General features: G+C 38.3%; 1 long non-coding RNA gene across 2 annotated transcripts in view; it reads right to left on the bottom strand.

Moving 5' to 3' along the window:
- The window catches only part of LINC03077 (long intergenic non-protein coding RNA 3077), a 293892-nt gene extending 273498 nt beyond the window's left edge, over positions 1–20394 (bottom strand). Inside the window, exons 1-2 of one of the 2 annotated variants that reach the window (NR_186574.1) lie at positions 20335–20394; positions 15193–15281 (exon numbers count right to left, since the gene is read on the bottom strand). This is a non-coding gene — a long non-coding RNA (long intergenic non-protein coding RNA 3077). The remainder of the gene's footprint in view (positions 1–15192; positions 15282–20334) is intronic. The other variant, NR_186575.1, reaches the window with a different exon arrangement.
- Positions 20395–20676: the final 282 nt, after the last annotated feature.

Genomic DNA, 20676 nt, shown 5'->3' with positions numbered 1-20676 from the left:
CAAGAACAAAAAACCAAACACTGCATGTTCTCACTCATAGGTGGGAATTGAACAATGAGAACACATGGACACAGGAAGGGGAATATCACACTCTGGGGACTGTTGTGGGGTGGGGGGAGGGGGGAGGGATAGCTTTAGGAGATATACCTAATGCTAGATGACGAGTTAGTGGGTGCAGCGCACCAGCATGGCACATGTATACATATGTAACTAACCTGCACATTGTGCACATGTACCCTAAAACTTAAAGTATAATAATAATAATTTAAAAAAAAAGAAGTATACATTTTCTTTATGGCTCTTAGATAACATTCTGATCAAACCATTTCTCCTGGAGGCCCAATCCTCTGTTATGGAGAAGGTCTGGGTATATCTCAAAAGAAAAACTTTTTCCCTCCCACTGCCGGAGCCAAAAGGTATTATTTCTCACTTATTTACCATGAGAACCTGGTGGGGTTCCTGGAAGTCAAACCCAAAAATGTTCAAGAAATTTATCACTCTTATACTAGTGCATAATCAGCTTCTAGCTAATCATAAGAATTAACATTTAAGTGATTCTACCAGTTTATGGCTCCAATGGCTTTTGTTCTAGGTAAACAGATGTTGGCTCTGACTCTCTAAATTCACCTGTCTCTCCATATTTGGAAGTTGTGATTTGCCCTGTGACCTCAATTCTGTGATGTAAGCAAGAAAATCTTTGTCCGGTTTTCCCTTAGTGTAAAGATATGCTAAATCAACTTTAGCTTAAAGCTGCCTCCTTACCTATTTTAAGTTCAGCCTAAAGGTTTTGCTATGCATCGTGAACTATAACAAGTGAAAGTATAAACAGACTGTACCCTACGCTGTGCCATTCACTGAGTTTTAGCCAATCAAATGTAGCCAACTGTTCAAACTGTGTTCAAATAAGGCAAACGCCAACCTGCAACCAATCCAGCTGTTTCTGTATCTTGCTTCTATTTTCTTTATGTCACTTTCCTTTTTCTGTCCATAAATATTCCAACATGTGGCTGTGCTGGAGTCACAGAGCTCCAGGAGGCTGCCGGATTGATGAATCACTCATTGCTCAACTAAACTATTTTAAATTTAATTTGGCTGAAGTTTTTCTTTTATCAGTTGGTGTCAGAAGTGGGATCCAAAGTATAGCTTCTAGTGACCCCCAGGAGCTCTGAATGACTGACTGAGAAACCACCAGACCCATTGTGTCCATTGATCTCTTGAAGCAGCTGGGGATCATGGTAACTTCTCTCTCAGATTCTGAAGCTCCATAGATTTCTTTTCTGAACTCTCCAAGTTTCTTTGAGCGAATTAGTGATCCAAACTGGGTTTGGAAGTGAACAACAGAAACTGGACTGGGTTCAGGATTGGATTGTATCTGGTAATTAACTGTCTTGGATTAAGTAAGAGGTCTCTTACATCTGACTGCATCTGAAACAAATGGATAGTAAATGACCATATTGCAGCGGGTATAAAATTTTGCTATTGAAAATTTGCAGGGATTTTTGTGTTCTACCACTTTGTTTCATTTTTCTTGTGTGCTTAGGTAGGAAAAAATCATTGGCTAAGGTGATCAAGAGGACCTGACAGCAAAGTCAATATTTGAAATAAAAATAGTATTTTTAATTTCTGAAGAACTAAATTTCTTCCAGCTTATACACGCATAAGTGTTGGACCCTGGAAGCAGCAAAGTCTTAAAGAAATGGTGAAATCTTACTCAAGATAACTTACAGTGGAATATTCAAAATGAACAACACTGCACTGAAGAGCATTTAAAAATGAGGGCTCCCAAATTAGTCTCATCTAGGGATGCCTATTAATATGCAAAGCTTCTAAAAAATTCAATATTTTTATTTAAAGACTTTATGAAAGGCAAATAAAAACTTTAAGTGACTAATTGATTAAAATAATTAAATCTGCTGAGCTTTGGCTTAGTTATGATCCTGATCCAAAGGTAATAGACAGTAGCACCAATTGGCCAACTTTGAGTAAGTTGTGGGGTACATTTTACCTGTGTAAAGGATGGAATTGAGCTAGAGGCCCTCTCCTCAGTAAAGTCCCTCTTGCTTAAAAATGGATATGGCACTATAGGAAGTTAACTGCTATTCTCTTTGGAATAATCTACCTTGCACTCTTTGCTGATGGGTATGGGTAACAGGGTTAGGCAGGTACTAGATCACTGGACATGGGAAACCTTTTTCTCCCTACGAGGGAAACTTGAGAGCTGATGGGACTGCTGGAAAAGATGAATTGTTGTGACTGACAAGGGGCTGCCTCAACTATTGATTCAGTGTTGTTGCAATCGGTGGGTCTTTCTTTGGCCTTTCTGAACTCCTTGCCTTCCGCACCCTGTTGCAGGCAATGCGTTTCTCCTTTCCCTTTCCTCTCTCTCTGTGCAAGCCAGTTGTAAGAACTGCAAAAATTACTATCTCTTCCAAAGTTTTAATTAATGAGAAAAAGGATTCGTGAGGCTAATATTAAACTGTAGCAAATCTGGTGTAATTTGTCCTGTGAATTTGTCTTTCTGCATTGTTCTGTCATAAAAAATGTACCATAAGATAGAATGTAGGCCTAGGCCCCCATAAGCTTGCTGTTCAAGATGACCCAGCAAGCTGATCAGTAACAAACAAACAAAATGGGATGAGGTTTTCATCTTGTCTTTTGTTATGTCCTTGGGAACTTGACCTTGTAACCATGTAGCAGTACTTTCTCTTGGTCTCTGCCATCAAGAGAACAGGAATTTTGAGGTTCATGTCATAGTTAGCTTTAAAAATTATCTTCAGCAGGTAAAAGGCTTTGCAAGCTCAAAATTGGCTGCTCTAGATTCCTTCTGGGAAGAGCAATGGAAAGTGCTCAGTACTGTAGCTTAGCTGCCAAAGCTTGGCTACTGCCAAAGCTTGGCTTTGTCATTCCACAATGGCAACCCAGGTTCAATCCTGGCCTGGGGGATGAGTACTCTCTAGTTGACATCTGTGTGACCTTTACCATTTGTTGATTCTCTTCTCCATGTACAATTTCTGGCTTCCCTTCTTGAATTTTCCTTTAGCAAAGAACCTGGGAGGTTACCTTTGTTAAAGTTCAAAAGCCAGAAATATTGGCTGTTTGGCTTGGCTAAACTCGGGTAATATGAGATTTAAAAGGATTTTTATTTAAAAGTGCTATGGTTAAAAGTCAGCTTAATTAAAAGTGATATTCAAGTTCTAACATCCTGGGACTTCTTGGGAAAATCGTATTCAAGTTCTAACATCCTGGGACTCCTTGGGCAAAAATAGTCACACATGCTATTTTGGGGGAAAAAAACTCCTCTCATGGAACCCCAGGAATTGAAAGTGGATAGATCCCTCTCAAAATCTAAGGCTCTGTTCTGCTTTGAATTGGGTTATCTGACATTTTTTACTTTTGGGGGTATATCAGAAATTACTTCACATTATGAGAGAACTTTGGTGTGTAATAACTAGGTAAGAAATATACCTTTAGGGATAGCTAATGGCATTATGGGGCAATAATGTCAGTCATGGGGAGTACTCAGCTCTTTGCATGTTTGGATCATAGAAGCATGCTCTTGGCCACCTAGAACGTATGGAAATTCCCCCACCCCCACTGAGAGATAAGACTCCCTTGAGGGATGGGCTTATCACAGAATAAACTGAGACACTGGGGTGCTTTGCGATGAAATACATGGTGAAAGCATTGCACTGTCTTCTTCCATAGAATTTCCCTCTTTTGGGGGATCCAGGATGTGATATAAAAATGGGACCCTTAATTTTGGGGATCTGTTTTTGCCTTCCAGCTGTGGCTGCTTATTGGGCCCTAGAAACTGCATGCTTTTCTGCCCCTGTTCCTTGAAGGGCTCCACACTAAAGCCAGTAATACAATTAAGAAACATTTAAAAACTGGCAAATAAAAAATTTTACAACTACTGGATCTTCTGTTTGTCTATGTATTTATATGTGTTGTGTTCATGATGTTTATATAAAAGAGCTCTGATTAATGGGTTTAAAGATAATAAGTGCTTATATCAAATATTTTGTCTGAAAAAATAAAAATTGTAATGCCTTTTAGTTCATGTGACTGTAGTAAGCTTTGGAAACAAAAAGTTTTAAAAATTATTAGTAAAATAAAGACATTTGGTCTAATTTAGGCAGGTCAAATATTAGGTTTGCTTAATGCTGTAATCTGCTTCTTTGACTGAAAAATTTTCAACTTACCTGCTTTGAAGCCATTAGATTCTAGGTAAGGCCTTGGGACATGTGGAGTTAGCCAAGCCCTCTAGCTATCCTGGAAAGAGTCAAACTATATCTGCACTTATGTCTGGTGCCCTAGGCTCCATACCTAGTACATAATTAAAATCATTTACTTACCAGGTTTTTCACCAAAAATAAAAATTGCTCAGAGTTAACATTGTAACATGTAATTGAAACTACTGATAAAAGAGTTCTACATGCAAGGTGTGTGAGGAAAGTGAAATGTGCATTTAGTAAAAGATTATAAAAAGGCATGGGAATAAAAATTTTTGCCTAGTTTAGAGGATTAAAGTATTGTTTAAAATTAGATAGCATGAAGCTGAAGGTTTGAGCAAGTTGTGGAAGATATGTAAAAAAAAAACTTGTAAAAAATCATGTTTGTGAACATATTAGCTAAATTTAAAGGTGTATTATATATTTGTTTGTTTTTTCTGTAAATGGAACATTGAAATAAAAGCACAACAGGATTTTCTTAGAGCACTGATTTGCTCTTTAACAAAAATTTGCAAAGGGTTATGAAAGGTTTATGAGAATCTCACCTTATGGTCAAACTGATTAAGTTGGATAGATTTGTCTATCAGGTTTTATTAAAAAGTGAGGTTGACATTAATAGTACACTAATGCAAGAGTGAAATTTGGCTTTCTGTCTTGCACAAGATTTTCATGTAATATTAAAGGATAATGAAAGATTTTTGTTTGCCTTTTGAATAAACTACATGAAAAAGAAAGGGAAGACAAGAGACAGAGTGTTTGGAAAGCTAAGTCATCCCTTTATCAATGAATAAAGGTATTTGCCCTTTTAAAATTTTTGAGTCATCATTTTGGCTAAATGAATGACTTATGGTGACCTGGAATTCTATTTTATAATATCAAGTGTTTTAAAATGTTAACATATTTGACAGCCTTCCCCAAATTAAATTTCAGCTTCAAAATTGTCTTTTCTGACCTCTGACTTTGGGATGCTACAGAAGGCCCCTGAAGCATCCAAAACAGAGGTAAACAGGATAATTTGACATGTTGAGTTGCATGGGAGCATTGTCAAAATAAAATATAATTGTTAATGTTTAACCTTCTTCAGGTTATATTTTAGTGAATGATATTAATACATGTTCCAAAATTGTATAGGATTTCTAAAATTCTAATGTCTGAGTATATGCTATCAATCATAATTATGATTATTATGTTAAGTTATTGTAGACCACAGAAATAACCAAATTTCCTTGTCAATTGTGTCTTTAACTATGACTATTTAAAGCCATTTCCACAGTTAATTGCTTAATGCTGATGCAATTCCTGAAAACTTCAGAAGCATGCAAAATTCTAGAAGATAATGTCTTTTAAGGGTTCCTGAAAGGATGAAAGAGACCCTGAAAAGCACTCTTGAATACAGGTTTCTGGTAATGTTAGAATCATATCATTTGGACTGGGTAAGAATTCCTGGAACTTTAATGAAAACACTGACTGGTTTATAAAACTGCTAACCCAAGCAGAACAAAAATTAATTGAATACCAAGAAAATACTTTGCCAGATTTTCATGCTAAATCAGCCAATACTGAAATTGTTTAGATATACAATTTGAATGAACTCCATGGTCTAAGTCAAATGGTCTATGATAACCCATCAGTTATCAGTGCTAAGTACCTAAATTGGAGAAACAACTGGTATTCAAGAGGACATAAGTCCAATGCTACGCATGCACTCATGGAGAACCAGGACAGCTGCCTTGTCCTTCTTGAGTCATTAATGCTTTTGTTATTAAAAGTTCTGTATTTCATGACTCATCATGGAAAAGATAAATGATCCAAATTAAATATTATATACATTGGTGTGGTGATTTCTAAATTACTGAAATAGTTTATGACCAATGTTTTGTTTGTTAAACCCGTATTTCTGAGAAGATAATCAAAGCTTTGGGTATATTTGGCTACCTCATGGCCATTTAAACTTTTATAGAGGGTTTTCATTCAATTATCATTTTCAATTCATGTTTTCTGGTTGTATAACAGCTTTCCCATGCAAGAGGGATGTACATGGTAAACCCTAGAGCAACCACAAAAATGTAGTAAAAAATTTATTAAAGTAACTAAAATAAGACATTAGAAATTATTCACTTAGTGCAAAAGAAAGAAGCAAAAAAGGAATAAAGGAACAAAAAAGACATGAGACATATATAAAACAAAAGTAAAATGGCAAACATAAATATATCAATGATAACAATTAATGTTAATGTATTCAATAATTCAATCAAATGCAAAGATTATTAGACTGGATTTTTTAAAACATAATTCAACTATATATTGTCCATAGGAGACAAACTTTAGAGTCAAAGATACAACTAGATTGAAAGTAAAAAACATAGAAAAAGATATAACATTTAAGCCAATCTGTCAGGAATATATGATAATTATAAACATATATGCACCTAATAGAATACCAAAATACATGAAGCAAAATGTTATAGAAATTAAGGGATAGACAGTTCAAAAATAATAGGGTAGACTTCAATACTCTACTTTTAATAATAGATTGGACAACTAGACAGAAGATCAAAAATAGGAAAACAGAAGAATTAAATGACACTATAAAATCAACCGGATTTAACCATACATGTCTAGATTACTCCAACCAAAAACAACAGAATATACAGTCTTATCAAGTTCACACAGAACTTTCTCCAGGATAGACCATATGTTAGCCTATAAAACAAACTTCAATAAAATTAAAAGGAATAATACAAAGCATGTTCTTTGACTATAATGGAATAAAATTAGAAATTCATAACAGAAAATAATTATAAAATTCACAAACGTAAAATTAAACAACACACTCCTAAATAATCAATGGGGTCAAAGAAGAAATCAGAGGGAGAATGAGAACATACTTTAAGATGAATAAAAATGAAGACAAAACATAAAAAATTATACGATGCACCTAAAGTAGTGCTTAGTGAGAAACCTGTACTTAATTTCTGTATTATGAAAGGAGAAAGATTTCAAATTAACAGCCTAACTTTCTACCTTGGGGCACTGGACAAACAAAAGCAAACTAAACCTAAAGAAAACAGAAGGAAGGAAATTATAAAGGTAAGAGCAGAAAGTAATGAAATAGAAAATGGAGGGGGAAAAAAAAGAAAAACCAATGAGACAAAAAGTTGATTGTTGGAAAAGATTAAAAAAAATTGACAAACCTTTAGCCAGATTGACAAAAAAAAAAAAGGAGAAGATTCAAATTACTAGAATGAGAAATAAAAGTGAGAACATTACTACTGGCCCTACAGAGATGAGAAGCATTTTAAAGGAATACATGAACAACTGTATGCCAACTAATTAGAGAACTAGATTAAATGAACAAATTCCTCGAAAGACATAAACTACTAAAACTGACTTAAGAAGATATAAACATTATTAATAGATCTGTAACAAGAAAATAAATTGAAATAGTAATAAACAAAAAGAACTACCCACAAAGAAAAGTCCATGTGCACATGGCTTTACTGATAAATTCCATTTAAAAAAAAAAAAGGCAATTTTCACAAATTTTCCAAAAAAAAATCAAAGAGGAAGGAACACTTCCCAATTCACTCTGTGAAGACAATATTGCTCTGATACCAAACCAAAGATACTGCAATAGAAGAGACCAATATCTCTTATGAATATGGATGCAAAAGTGCTCAACTTGGCAAGATGAATCCAGTAATACATAAAAAGAATTCGACACCATTACTAATTGGGATTCTAGTGACCAGAATGGCCAAAGAATGCTTGATATTTTAAGTATACTTTGCTATCCTGTATTTTGTCATGCTCCTAATGCCCAAAAACTTTCAATAAAAGGCTTTTATAACCAAGTTTTGGGTTAGTGTTCTACTGAGAGAATGTTAGAGTAGGTCCAGTGTAGCATACTTATACAGCAACTGCATGTTTGAAATATGTGGAAGCATAATGTGGATCAACAAATTGGCAGTATTAGGAAATCAAATATAGAAGAGACTAGGGAAAATGTCATTTCCCCAAGATCTCTAATGATTCTGTCAAAGAATCATTAGAGATCTTGGGGAAAACCCTGGGTTCCCCACCACACGTGGTTGGGAATATGAGGCAATTTATGTAAATCTTAAAGGACAGGTTGACCTTAATGCATCAAAGGACTTTGGCATAATTTAGGTGACTATACTAATCTACTTGCATAACAGCAAATATTTAATAAGTGTCAGAACTAAAATTAGAACCTCAAACTCCTAATTTTAGTCTAGTCTTCTATACTTTGTCATTTACTTGGAGGAAAAGAGAAAAGAAATTCTATCATTTGTGCATTTTTAAATGAGAAAGTCTAAAAGGTACAAATGTATAAAATTATACATATACAAGCTTCTGAATTTTAAAGTTTTTATTTGGTTGGTTGGTTGGTTTTTTTTGAGACGGAGTCTCTCTCTGTCGTCCAGGCTGGAGTGCAATGATGCAATCTCGGCTCACTGCAACCTCCGCCTCCCGGGTTCAAGCAATTCTCCTGCCTCAGCCTCCCAAGTAGCTTGGATTACAGGCACCCACCACCGTGCCAGGCTAATTTTTGTATTTTTAGTAGAGATGGGGTTTTGCCTTGTTGGCCAGGCTGGTTTTGAACTCCTGACCTCAGGTGATCTGCCCTGCTCGGCCTCTCAAAGTGCTGATCTTACAGGCGTGAGCCACCACACCCGGCCTTAAAGCATTTTTAATAATAAGTTTATCTTTGTGACAGAGGAAAATTTTCTGGAAAATCTAGCCACTGCCCCTATTTCTTACTAGTCAGCTGTTTGAAAAACAGAAACTTCTCTGTAAAATAGCAGCCAAAAAGGGAGTGGTCTCTTCCCCGATCATTTCTATTCCCTAACTGGAAAGCATTCAAGAGATTCTGCATGTTGAATGTTGCAGGATCAGGCCATGTGACAGAGCAGGTTTTACTAGCAATGGCATTGTTGACCTCAGATGAGGGAATGGTTAAAAAAATCTGTAGAGATAGTTCACTTTTTGACAAAGGAGTTAGGTTGAAAGAAAGCAAACTAATAGACTTAGCTGCTCCTTCTTCTAATCCCCTTTACTAATAAGGTTGGGAGGAAGGATTGCCATTCATCTTGGTTGGTATAGATGCTTTTAATATGGGACTTGCAAAATTGATGTTCAGAGAGGTACATAGTACGGCTTAATAAAGGGGATCCTTTTACAAATGAGCTTGGAAGACATTGGTTTTAAAAAAAAATTACTGCAGAGCGTCTCAAAACTTTGAATGATATTTCAAATGTGAATATCCAATGGGAAAGAGAGGATGCTGTATTTCTCACACTATCTAGAAGTGTTTCTAAACATCTATCAGGTCAGAGTTTTGACATCTAACCATTTTTTCTCTCACCAGCTGTCAATGATGTCTCTTCATTAAAAGTCCAAAATACCAATTGGTTTAGCACCTCCTTCCATGATATTTCTTGTCTAATATTTTATAGTTTAGAAAGTACTTTCACTTCCTGCCTCATCCCAAATTGATTTTCTGTCACTTAATATAATCTGGGTATACAGACTAATAATTTTGGCGTTATCCTATGTGATGGCAAATTTTAGATTCAACTTGACTGGATTACACCTTGAGAAGTGGTAAAACATTATTTTGGGATGTGTTTATAAGAGCGTTTCCAGAGGAGATTTACCTGTGAGTCTAAGTGGACTAAGTGGGGAAGAGCTACCCTCAATGCGGGTGGGCACCATCCAATTGACATGGAGTCCAGATGGAGCAAAAACAGAGAAAAAGCAAATTGGCTTCTTTGTTTCTCAGAGCTGGGACACACTCTTCTTCTGCCCTTGCACATCAGAACTCTAAGCTCTCTGGCCTTTAGACTCCAGGAAAGTGCAACCTCAAGCCCCCAACCCCCACCTCACCTGCCCCAGGGTCTCAGGCTTTGAACTTTGGCAAAGCCACAGTAGCAGCATCTGAAAGTCTCCAGCTTGTGGACACCCTGTTGTGGGACTAGTCATCCTTCATGATCTCATGAGTCAATCCTTCTACTAAATTACTTCTCATATATCTGTATATATCTTATTGGTTCTGTCTCTCTGAAGAACCTTGACTAATACGTCATACCATTAATACTTTTAAACATAAAACTTCAAGACTGTTTTGTCTTTGTCTTCAATTTAATAGCTATCAATGACTATTTCTCCTTAACTCTATATATTTAATTTCAAAATGCATTTCCAGTGCTTGTTTACCACAATGTTTATATTCTTGAGATTTTTATTTTTAATTTCCCTCTCTCTTGTCTATAACATCTAACACATCTTAAAGTAACTTTTCAGAATGGGCACAGGAGTAAGATCTTTTCTAATCTCTTGCACATGTGGAAATACTTTTATTATATTAATAGTGTTCATGTATGTATTAGTTTTCTGTGGCTGTTGTAACAAATTACCATAAACTTGGTGGCTTAAAATAACAGAAATTTATTTCTCATCATTCTGGAGCCTGGGAAACCCAAGATCAAGGCACTGACAGGTTCAGTGTCTAGTGAGGAATCATTTTCTGGTTCTTATTTGGCTCCTTATGGATGTGTCTCCACATGGCGGAAGGGGTGAGCTGGCTCTCTGGGTTCTCTTTTATAAGGTCACTAATATCTTGCTATTACATTCCATACAATTTCAACATAAGAATTTGGGAAAAACATAAACATTCAATCCATAGCAAGCCTGTGGTACACATTGCTTCTCTTTGGAATACTGAGCCCCTTTTTCTTCTCCTAAACTAGTACTATCCATTATTCACATCTAAGTTTCAATAATATTTCCCTTAAGAAGTTTTTTTTGGTCTCATAATATTGAATAATATACTTTGCCTATATGCACCTAGAACACCTTGCACTTAGGTAATCACAGCGTGTATTATACTACTGTATAATGATCTGCCTTTCCCACCAGACGATGAGCAACTTGAAGGAACAAATTATGACTTGTTCACATTATATTATCAAAACGTAGCATAGTACCTAACATCAGTAGGCAATCAATAAAAATTTGTTAAATTGTAACATTAGAATATGTCAGTTATATAAGTTCTTTGAACCACCAAGGATTTGTTTGGTACCTCTATCTGGGTTCACATAATATCTTGTACTTACTTTTATCATAAAACATATCACAATGTATAGTGATTTGACAGTAACAGTAATAAGGATTTATTAGGCATTTACTATGTGTTAGACACGTGCTAAGCAATTTATTTGTATATGCTAAGCAATTTATTTGTATTATAACCTTTAATTTAGTCCTCACAATTGTCAGAGTAGACAGATAGTTAGACATGAGTGGGAAAGGAAGGAAGCACTGGAAAATCTCACACCCCAGAGACCACCCAAAACATGTATGCTAAATATGAGCAGAGAGGAGGGTAAATACCTATGCAGAGAGGAATGCCCCGAAACACCCTTTAAGATGCCCAGTAATTGCTCACTCTGCAGTTAACCTGTCGGAATGTAGCTAGCTTCATGCTGATAAGAAGGGAAAAAGGGGGGCCGGACGCAGTGGCTTATGCTTGTAATCCCAGCAGTTTGGGAGGCTGAGGCGGGCGGATCACCAGGTCAAGAGATCAAGACCATCCTGGCCAACATGGTGAAACACCACCTCTACTAAAAATACAAAAATTAGCTGGGCATGGTGGCACATGCCTGTAATCCCAGCTACTCGGGAGGCTAAGGCAGGAGAATCACTTGAATCCGGGAGGCGGAGCTTGCAGTGAGCTAAGATTGTGCCACTGCACTCCAGCCTTGGCAACAGAGCGAGACTCCATCTAAAAAAAAAAAAAAAAAAAAAAAACAAGGGAAAAAGGACAAAGGGGAAATTCTTAAGAGTTACACAGGCACAAAAAGTACCTATTTGACCACTACATGACCTTGCAGGGACGGTGGTCATGAGTAACTCTGTCATTAGGTAGAATCTATATTGATCACCAGACCTGCACGTGTGTATCAACTGAGAGTAAGTGACAATTCCACAAGGCAAGGACAAGGACAAGGCCAAAACTTAAGAAAGAAGCAGGACACCATACAAAGACAAAGGTGGAGACTTAAGACAGAGGCGGTAACTTAAAGAAAAAGTCCAACATAATAAAAACTACAACGCAGAACTCTCAGGGCTGCTCCCAGCCAGGTCAGCCTGTTCCTCACTTTGAGTGTACTCTTATTTCCTTAATAAAACTTTTGCTTACTTTACTAATTGTCTCTTGGCGGAATTATTTCTCCCAAGTAAGATAAGAACTGAGGATCCACATACTTCCCAGTAACATATTGTGGTGCTGTGACTCAGAGAGCCTAACCTGCAAATGGTTCTTCAAGATAAGTGCCATGGTTGTCTCAGACTACCTGGTCAACTACCTCTGCTTCTTCCTGGGCTGTTTTACTAAAGTTTTGAGAAAAACCTCCCACTCCTAATGCTGTTCTTGCCAATTTAAAATGAGGCCTTCCTTTGCTCACTCTTTCACATTCTTACAAATCTCCAGTACAATTCCCTTCAGCCACTGTGACTATGCTAACTCTGGCTGATTTCTCAGTTGACTCTGATGGGGTGACAAGTGAAGGTAGAAGGACTTCAAGGTCCACACCACATAGATCTAAGCCACTGTAAGCCTCCCTGAGAGGAGGCTAGTGAAGGTGGTGGGGATTAAGACTAGGCCATGCAATGACTGAGGATCTTCGTATCTCTTAACTAAAATGGTAATCCGCTGCCCACTTTCACCACTTCTACTCAATATTGCACTGAAAGTCATAGCCAGAGCAATTAGACAAGAGAAAGAAATAAAGGGCATCCAAATCAGTAAAGAGGAAGTCAAACCGTCACTGTTAGCCAATAATATGATTGTATGCCTAGAAAACCCTAAAGACTCATCCAAAAGCTCCTGGACCTGCTGAATGCATTCAGAGTTTCAGGATACAAAATCAATGTACACAATTCAGTAGCACTGCTACACACCAACCACAACTAGACTGAGAATCAAATCAAGAACTCAATCTCTCTTACAACAGCTCTTAAAAAATAAAATACTTAGGAATATACCTAACCAAGGAGGTGAAAGATCTCTACAGGAAAATCTACAAAACACCACTGTGGAATGAAATTATCCACAACACAAACAAATGGAAACGTATCCCATGCTCATGGATAAGTAGAATCAATATTTTGAAAATAACTATACTTCCAAAAGCAATCTACAAATTCAATGCAACTCCCATAAAAATGCCATCATCATTCTTCACAGAACTAGAAAAGAAAATCATAAAATTCATATGGAACCAAAAGACAGCCCACATAGCCAAAGCAAGGCTAAGCGAAAAGAGTAAGTCTGGAGACATCACGTTACCTGACTTCAAACTACACTACAAGATTATAGTTACCAAAACAGTATGGTACTGGTATAAAAACAGGCATCTGGACAAATGGAAGAGAATAGAGAACCCAGAAATAAAGCCAAACACTTACAGCCAACTGATCTTCAACAAAGGAATCAAACACATAAAATGGGGAAAGGACACCCTATTCAACAAATGATGCTGGGATCATTGGCAAGCCCCATGTAGAAGAATGAAGCTGGATCTTCATCTCTCACCTTATACAAAAGTCAACACAAGATGGATCAAAGACTTAAATCTAAGACCTGAAACCATTACAATTCTAGAAGATAACATTGGCAAAACTCTTCTAGACATTGGCTTAGGTAAAGAGTTCATGACCAAGAACACAAAAGCAAATAAAACAAAAACAAAGATAATAGATGGGACCTAATTAAACTAAAAGGCTTCTGCACAGCAGAAGAAATAATCAGCAGAGTAAACAGACAACCCATACAGTGAGAAATAATATTTGCAAACTACACATCTGACAAAGAACTAATATCCAAAATTTACAAGGAATGCAAACAAATCAGCAAGAAAAAAAAAATCTCATCAAAAAGTGGGCAAAAGACATGAATAAACAATTCACAAAAAAATATATACAAATGGCCAACAAACATGTAAACATTCTCAACATCACTAATTATTAGGGAAATGCAAATCAAAACCACAATGAGAAACCACTTTACTCCTGCAAGAATGGCCATAATTAAAATATCAAAAAATAACAGATGTTAGCATGGAGGTGGTGAAAAGGGGACACTTTTACACTGCTGGTTGGAATGTAAACTAGTATAACCACTGTGGGAAACAGCATGGAGATTCCTTAAGGAACTGAAAGTAGAACTACCATTTGATCCAGCAATCCCACTACTTGGTGTCTATCCAGAGGAAAAAAGTCATTATATGAAAAAGACACTTGCACATGCATGCTTTTAGCAACAAAATTCGCAAATGAAAAAATATGGAACCAGCCTCAATGCCCATCAACCAACGAGTGGATAAAGAAAATGTGATATATATATGTATACCATGGAATACTATTCAGCCATAAAAGGGAACAAAATAATGGCATTTGCAGCAACCAGGATGGAGATGGAGACCATTATTCTAAGTGAAATAACACAGGACTGGGAAATCAAACATCATATATTCTCACTTATAAGTAGGAGCTAAGCTATGAGGATGCAAAGCCTTAAGAATTACATAATGGACTTTGGGAATTTTGCGGGGAAGGATGGGAGGTGAGTGAGGAATAAAATAGTACACATTGGGTGCAGTGTACACTGCTTGGCTGATGGATGCACCAAAATACCAGGAATTATCACTAACAATTTTTTCCATGCAACCAAACACCACCTGTTCCCCAAAAACCATTGAAATAAAAATAAATAAATAAATAAATAATAGTATAAAATGGTTATCCTCCAATAATTTCACTGTTAAACTTTCCTTTCATTGCATTTTACCCCCTTCTCTCCCCTGAGTGGGTGCTAGCAACCACAGAAAGGAGGCATGCCCCCATGGACAGTTAATCTCACAAATTAGCTTACTCCCTGCTGTGTCTTCGTTCTCCACAAGGTTTCTTTGAATTCCTTCTTCATGCTTAGCCTCCTAGCAGGATCTGCTCCTCTGGTTCCTCCTGCAACCATTTAAAGCATCCTTCATTTATTACCAGGCCTTTCTAGCCTGGCCACCCTTAGTAAACACATTAGGCTTTAGCTTCTCAAGTGGGCTGTCTGGCTCCTCCAGGTAGCCATCTGCGGCCCCCACCTTCTCTTCCTTCTGTCTCACTTTACAACTGGAGCTCCTTATGGGCCAATGGGATGTTCTTCCTCTGTCTCTTAAGACCATTATTGTCAAACTCTGAAACCCTAAAGCATTTTTTGCTTTTTATTAAACAAACCAACAGAAAATGTCCCTGGGCTCCCCTTGCCATTCATGTAATTATATAAAAAACTGGAGTCAAGAACCTAGTCCACTTAGCCTGGGACCTAGGAATTACCATGCCTTCTCAAGCATCTTTTCAGCATAAGCCCTAAGGAACCTCCTCAAAACAGGGGAAGGTTTCAAATCTTCCCTGACTCCTCTAACCATCTACACCATTTATCTAAGTGTCATTATAGACTAAAACAACCCTATGTGGAGGTCTCTTCTCTTCAAGCTTTGGCGGAGGTACAACTATTGGGTTTCTTAAAGGGCCAGGATCATTGAGAATATAAAAGGCAACAAAATTACTCCTGTATCAGATACTACTCCACCCCCTTGCCTGGAATAGAGGCAAGAAAGATGTCACCAGTAAAATATTAACCAAAATGAGACTGGGGAAATCTTTCTGATTAAAAGAGAGAAAGCAGAGACAAAAAGAGCACACAGCAAGAATCAACCAAATCCAGAGCTCCCTAAGTGCAAGGTGAGGGGCATTTTGCCTTCCTTGGTCTGGTGAGGGATGCCTCACCTTCATAAGTCATTGTAGGAATGGACAGGGAGACACCTCTTTCATCCTACAGTTCTCCTTTGTCTTCTCTTTAAAATGGATAACCAGACTTCCATACCCCAAGATTCACCCCTTCTGAGATGCATCCTTAAAAATTTAGATAAATTCAACCCTCAAACCCTAAAGTGAAAAAAAAAAACTATTTTTCCTTTATAAAACCAGAGGAAATCTGGCTGGAGAACAAAAGTACAAATTTTAATACCATCCTCCAGCTGGACTTTTTCTGCTGCCATCAGGGCAAATAGTCAGAGCTCCCCTATTTACAAACCCTCATGGCTTTGAGGGAAGACTCTAATCTTTGTAAAGCTTATAAGCCAGATCCCTCTGTCCTACCTATGCTTAGCCACCATAAACTAGGGGCCAAAAGAAAATCCTATAGCCTTTCTTAAAAAGCTACAGGAAACCCTTATTAAGCACACCAACTTAAACACAGAATTCCCAGAGGGACTAGGCCTGAAGGACCATTTCTTCACTCAAGCCACTCCAGACATTAGGAGAAAATTGCAAAAGTCAGCCTTAAGACTCAGTGCCTCTATGCCAGAAATCCTTAATTTAGCTTCATTGGTCTTTTATAACTGGGATCAGAGTGAGGAATACAGGGTCAAGAAGAGAGAAAAACAAAGAGACAGGAGGAGGCAGGCTCAACTATTGGCTACTTTACAAGTCTTCCAGACCCCACCAAGCTGCCGTAAAAATACGCTCCCAGGTAACTGCCATCAGTGCAAAAGACCGGGCCACTGAAGAAGGAACTGCCCAACTGGAAGAAAGCCCCACATGAACTCCCCCTTTGCCATAAGCTCAGCCACTGGAGTAAGGATTGTCCCAGGAGCCAAAAGACTCCCTCGCTGGATCCCCCATCTAATGATGGCCTTGAGCTGAAGGGGCCCTCCACTACAGCCAGCTCCCAGATCAGACATAATCATTAAAGGAATAGAGCCAAGGGCAACTCTGGAAGCGGCAGGTAGGACTATAATTTAAAAAAAAAAAATACAAGGGCCACCAAGTTTGTGCTAACCTTCTTTGGAAAACTTTCCTCCAAATCTAGTTAGGTGATGGGGGAAAATAGCACCCCCCAATAAAGATTCACACCCACTTTATATTGCATATGGGGATCAATTACTATTCTCCCACCAGACCCTGGCAATGTCCGAATGCCCCACACCCCTTTTGGGAAAGAATGTACTTCACAAGGTGGGTGCCTCCTTAATATTTACCCAACCTCTGGATTCATCTTTCCCCCAATGGCCTTATTTCTCCCGGGAAAAGCTGCCTAAACCTTTAACCAATGACTTCAATCCAGACAGTCCTACCTCTGGTTTTGTAGACAGCTCACACATCCATAAAGCCCTAGCAAGAAATCTAACCAAGCTATTCTTGATGAAAGACAACTTCTACAATATATACATAACCTACTCCTTTGCCCCACCCACCACAGAGCTTGTACAACAACATGCAATACAAACCTTAAACTTTCTAGCAAAAGAGGATACAAAGTATTCAAAGCTAAGACAGAATTTCATACCTAGAACTAACTGAATATATACACAGAGTACTGCTGGCTAGTGACCCCTTCAACAACCAACAACTCGTATACCTGCCAGGGTCGCAAGTCCTCATTAAAACCTGGAGAGACTGGTCACCTGGGTCTCAGCTAACCCCCTTATGGAAGGGTCCTTTTACTGTCTTACTTTCCACCCCAACAGCTATCAAAGTTCCTGACATCTCTAGTTGCATATATCACTCCCAAATAAAACCCTGGGAAGGCTCCAAAGAACAGGAAAAGAACCAACGCCCAGTTACTCTTCTGAGCCATTGGAAGACCTGAAGCTTCTCTTCAAACAAAAAGATAAGCAAATGGCTCCTCCCTCCTCATCTCAGAGTTTTCAGGCCCAAAAACATCAAACAGATAATGTTACCTAGGTCATAAACTGTTTCTATGACTTTTGATAATTATTCAACTTGCCTGCTTTAGAGTAATTAAATTCTTGGCAAGGCCTGGGGACATGTGGAGTTAGCTATGCCCTTGGCTATGCTATAAAAAGTCAGACTTACCTATTCTTCTCTAACAATTGGAGGGGAACTTGCTCATTAATTTATCTTTCCCTTGATGTGGCCCTCCTAAACCAACATCAGTCAGTACCTATCCCCCTTCCCTCCAAGTCCACATCTCAAAGAGTGGTCATAGCCTTCCTTCCCTTACTTACAGCTCTGGGGTTAAGAACTGGAGTAACTAAAATAAGAACAGGAGTGTAGGAATTTTAATCTTTCAGCAAATGCATACCACCTTATCCCATGAGCCAGGACAGGCTCTTGAAGAGACAACCAAAGCCATTGGTTGTCCAATGGCTTGACCAGCAATTTAACTCCCTAGCAGGGATGGGCCTCCAAAACCAACACGCCTTAGACATCAGCACCTCAGCCCAGGGAGGAACCTGTGCTATGCTCAAAGAAGAATGTTAACCAGTTAGAAATCATACAGGACAGCATTCAACAACCACAAGAAAAAGCTAAACATCTACAGGCAGCTTCAGGCCCATTCTCAGGGACATGGAACATCCTCAGTTGATTCTGACCTCCTCTTGGCCCACTCTCCACGGTGCTCCTTCTTCTCCTCTTAGGCCTTTGCTTGGTCAATTTGTTAACTAAATTTATTTCTTTCTGCATTCAGGCTACCAGTCATCAAATGAGATTACAGCAAGGATATAACATATTACATTTGCAGATCCCAACACCTATGTAAACACCTCTCCCTTGAATGCAGGAAAAGGTTCGGGGAAAAGGAGGGGCTCCTGACAGAGGGCAAGAGAAGGAGACCCTGGATGAGTTAATTCTGTATCAGCAGGAAGTAGTTACAGAAGACCCAAGATACTCCTAGACTCAAAAATTGTTAGGGTCTCAAACTTTTGAGGGGGGAATTTTGGAGTAGGCAGATAGTTAAACATGAGCAGGAAAGGGAGCCCCTGAAGGAGAAAGCTCTGGAAAATCTCATGCCCTAGAGACCACCTAAAACATACATGCAAAATATAAGCAGATAAGAAGGGAAATACCTATGCAGAAAAGAACACCCAGAAATGCCCCTTACAATGCTCAGTAGTTGCTCACTCTGCAGTTAACCTGTCAGAATGTAGCTAGCCACATGCTGATAAGAAGGGAAAAAGGATCAAATGGGGAGGGATAGCATTAGGAGATATACCTAATGTTAAATGACGAGTTAATGGGTGCAGCATACCAACATGGCACATGTATACATATGTAACAAACCTGCACGTTGTGCACATGTACCCTAAAACTTAAAGTATAATAAAAAAAAAAAAAGGGAAAAAGGACAAAGGGGAAATTCCTAAGAGATACGCAAGCAAAATAAGTACAGATTTAACAGCTATATGACCCTCCAGGGGTTGTGGTCATGAGGAACACCTTAGGTAGAGTTTGTATTGATCACTGGGCCCACATGTGCACATCAACTGACAGTAAGGGAGAATCTCACAAACCTGAGCAGGAACTACTACATGGAGACAAGGGCAGAGACTTAAGACAGAAGTGGGAAACTATACAAAGACAAAGGCAGAGACTTAAGAAAGAGGAGGGAACTTAAAGAAACAGTCCAACATAATAAAAACCACAATGAAGAATTCTTGGGTCTGCTCCCAGCCAGGTCAGCCCAGTCCTCTCTTGGAGCGTACTCTTATTTCCTTAATAGATCTTTTGCTTATTTTATTACTTGGTTCTTGACTGAATTATTTCTCCTAAGTAGAACAAGAACCAAGGACCCCCGTACTTCCTAGGAAGATAATGACCCTGTAAGTTAGCATATTATTTTCCCCATTTCAAGATTATGAAATGGGCACAAAGAGGTTAAGAGTATTATTCAAAGTAACAGAGTTAGCAAACAGAGAAGCTTCTAACACAGACAATTTGACTCCAGACATTCTATTAACTAGTATACTATACTTCTCATGTTTCCTTCTCTAACACCAAACTAAAAGAAAATTCTCGGAGGAAGGTATTGTACCTTCTTCCCATTGCCAAGCATGTTATTGTAGGTACCATAGGCTCTTGGTCCCTTAAAGGTTTGCTAAACTTCACTGATATCAGGCAGATTGATTAACAGGAGAAAAGGCATACAGTTGTATGTAACGCATACACACAGTAGCTTCAGACTAAAGACTCAACTTTCCAGTGACATACAGAAACTTACCTAGTATCCCAAGGACACAGTAAAGAATGCAGATTCACAGCATGGCCAGAAACAGGTTATGTTGGTAAATCAGGTTTAGTGGCAAGATGGCGTGAACCCGGGAGGCGGAGCTTGCAGTGAGCCGAGATCGCGCCACTGCACTCCCGCCTGGGGGACGGAGCGAGACTCCGCCTCAGAAAAAAAAAAAAAAAAGAGAGAAAGAAAGGAAGAAGCTTGGCTAGCAAAGGTGGCCTTAATATGTAGATGAAGCCTCTTTCTGAGAGAATAGATGGCAAATATTTCTTTTCAGACTTTTAAAGGTGTCGGGCTCAATCTCTTCTGGATCTTGGAAAAGTCATATAA

This window comes from Homo sapiens, chromosome X, assembly GCF_000001405.40.
Source record: "Homo sapiens chromosome X, GRCh38.p14 Primary Assembly".
Lineage (NCBI taxonomy): Eukaryota > Metazoa > Chordata > Mammalia > Primates > Hominidae > Homo > Homo sapiens.
This window is presented reverse-complemented; position numbering and strand designations above follow the sequence as displayed.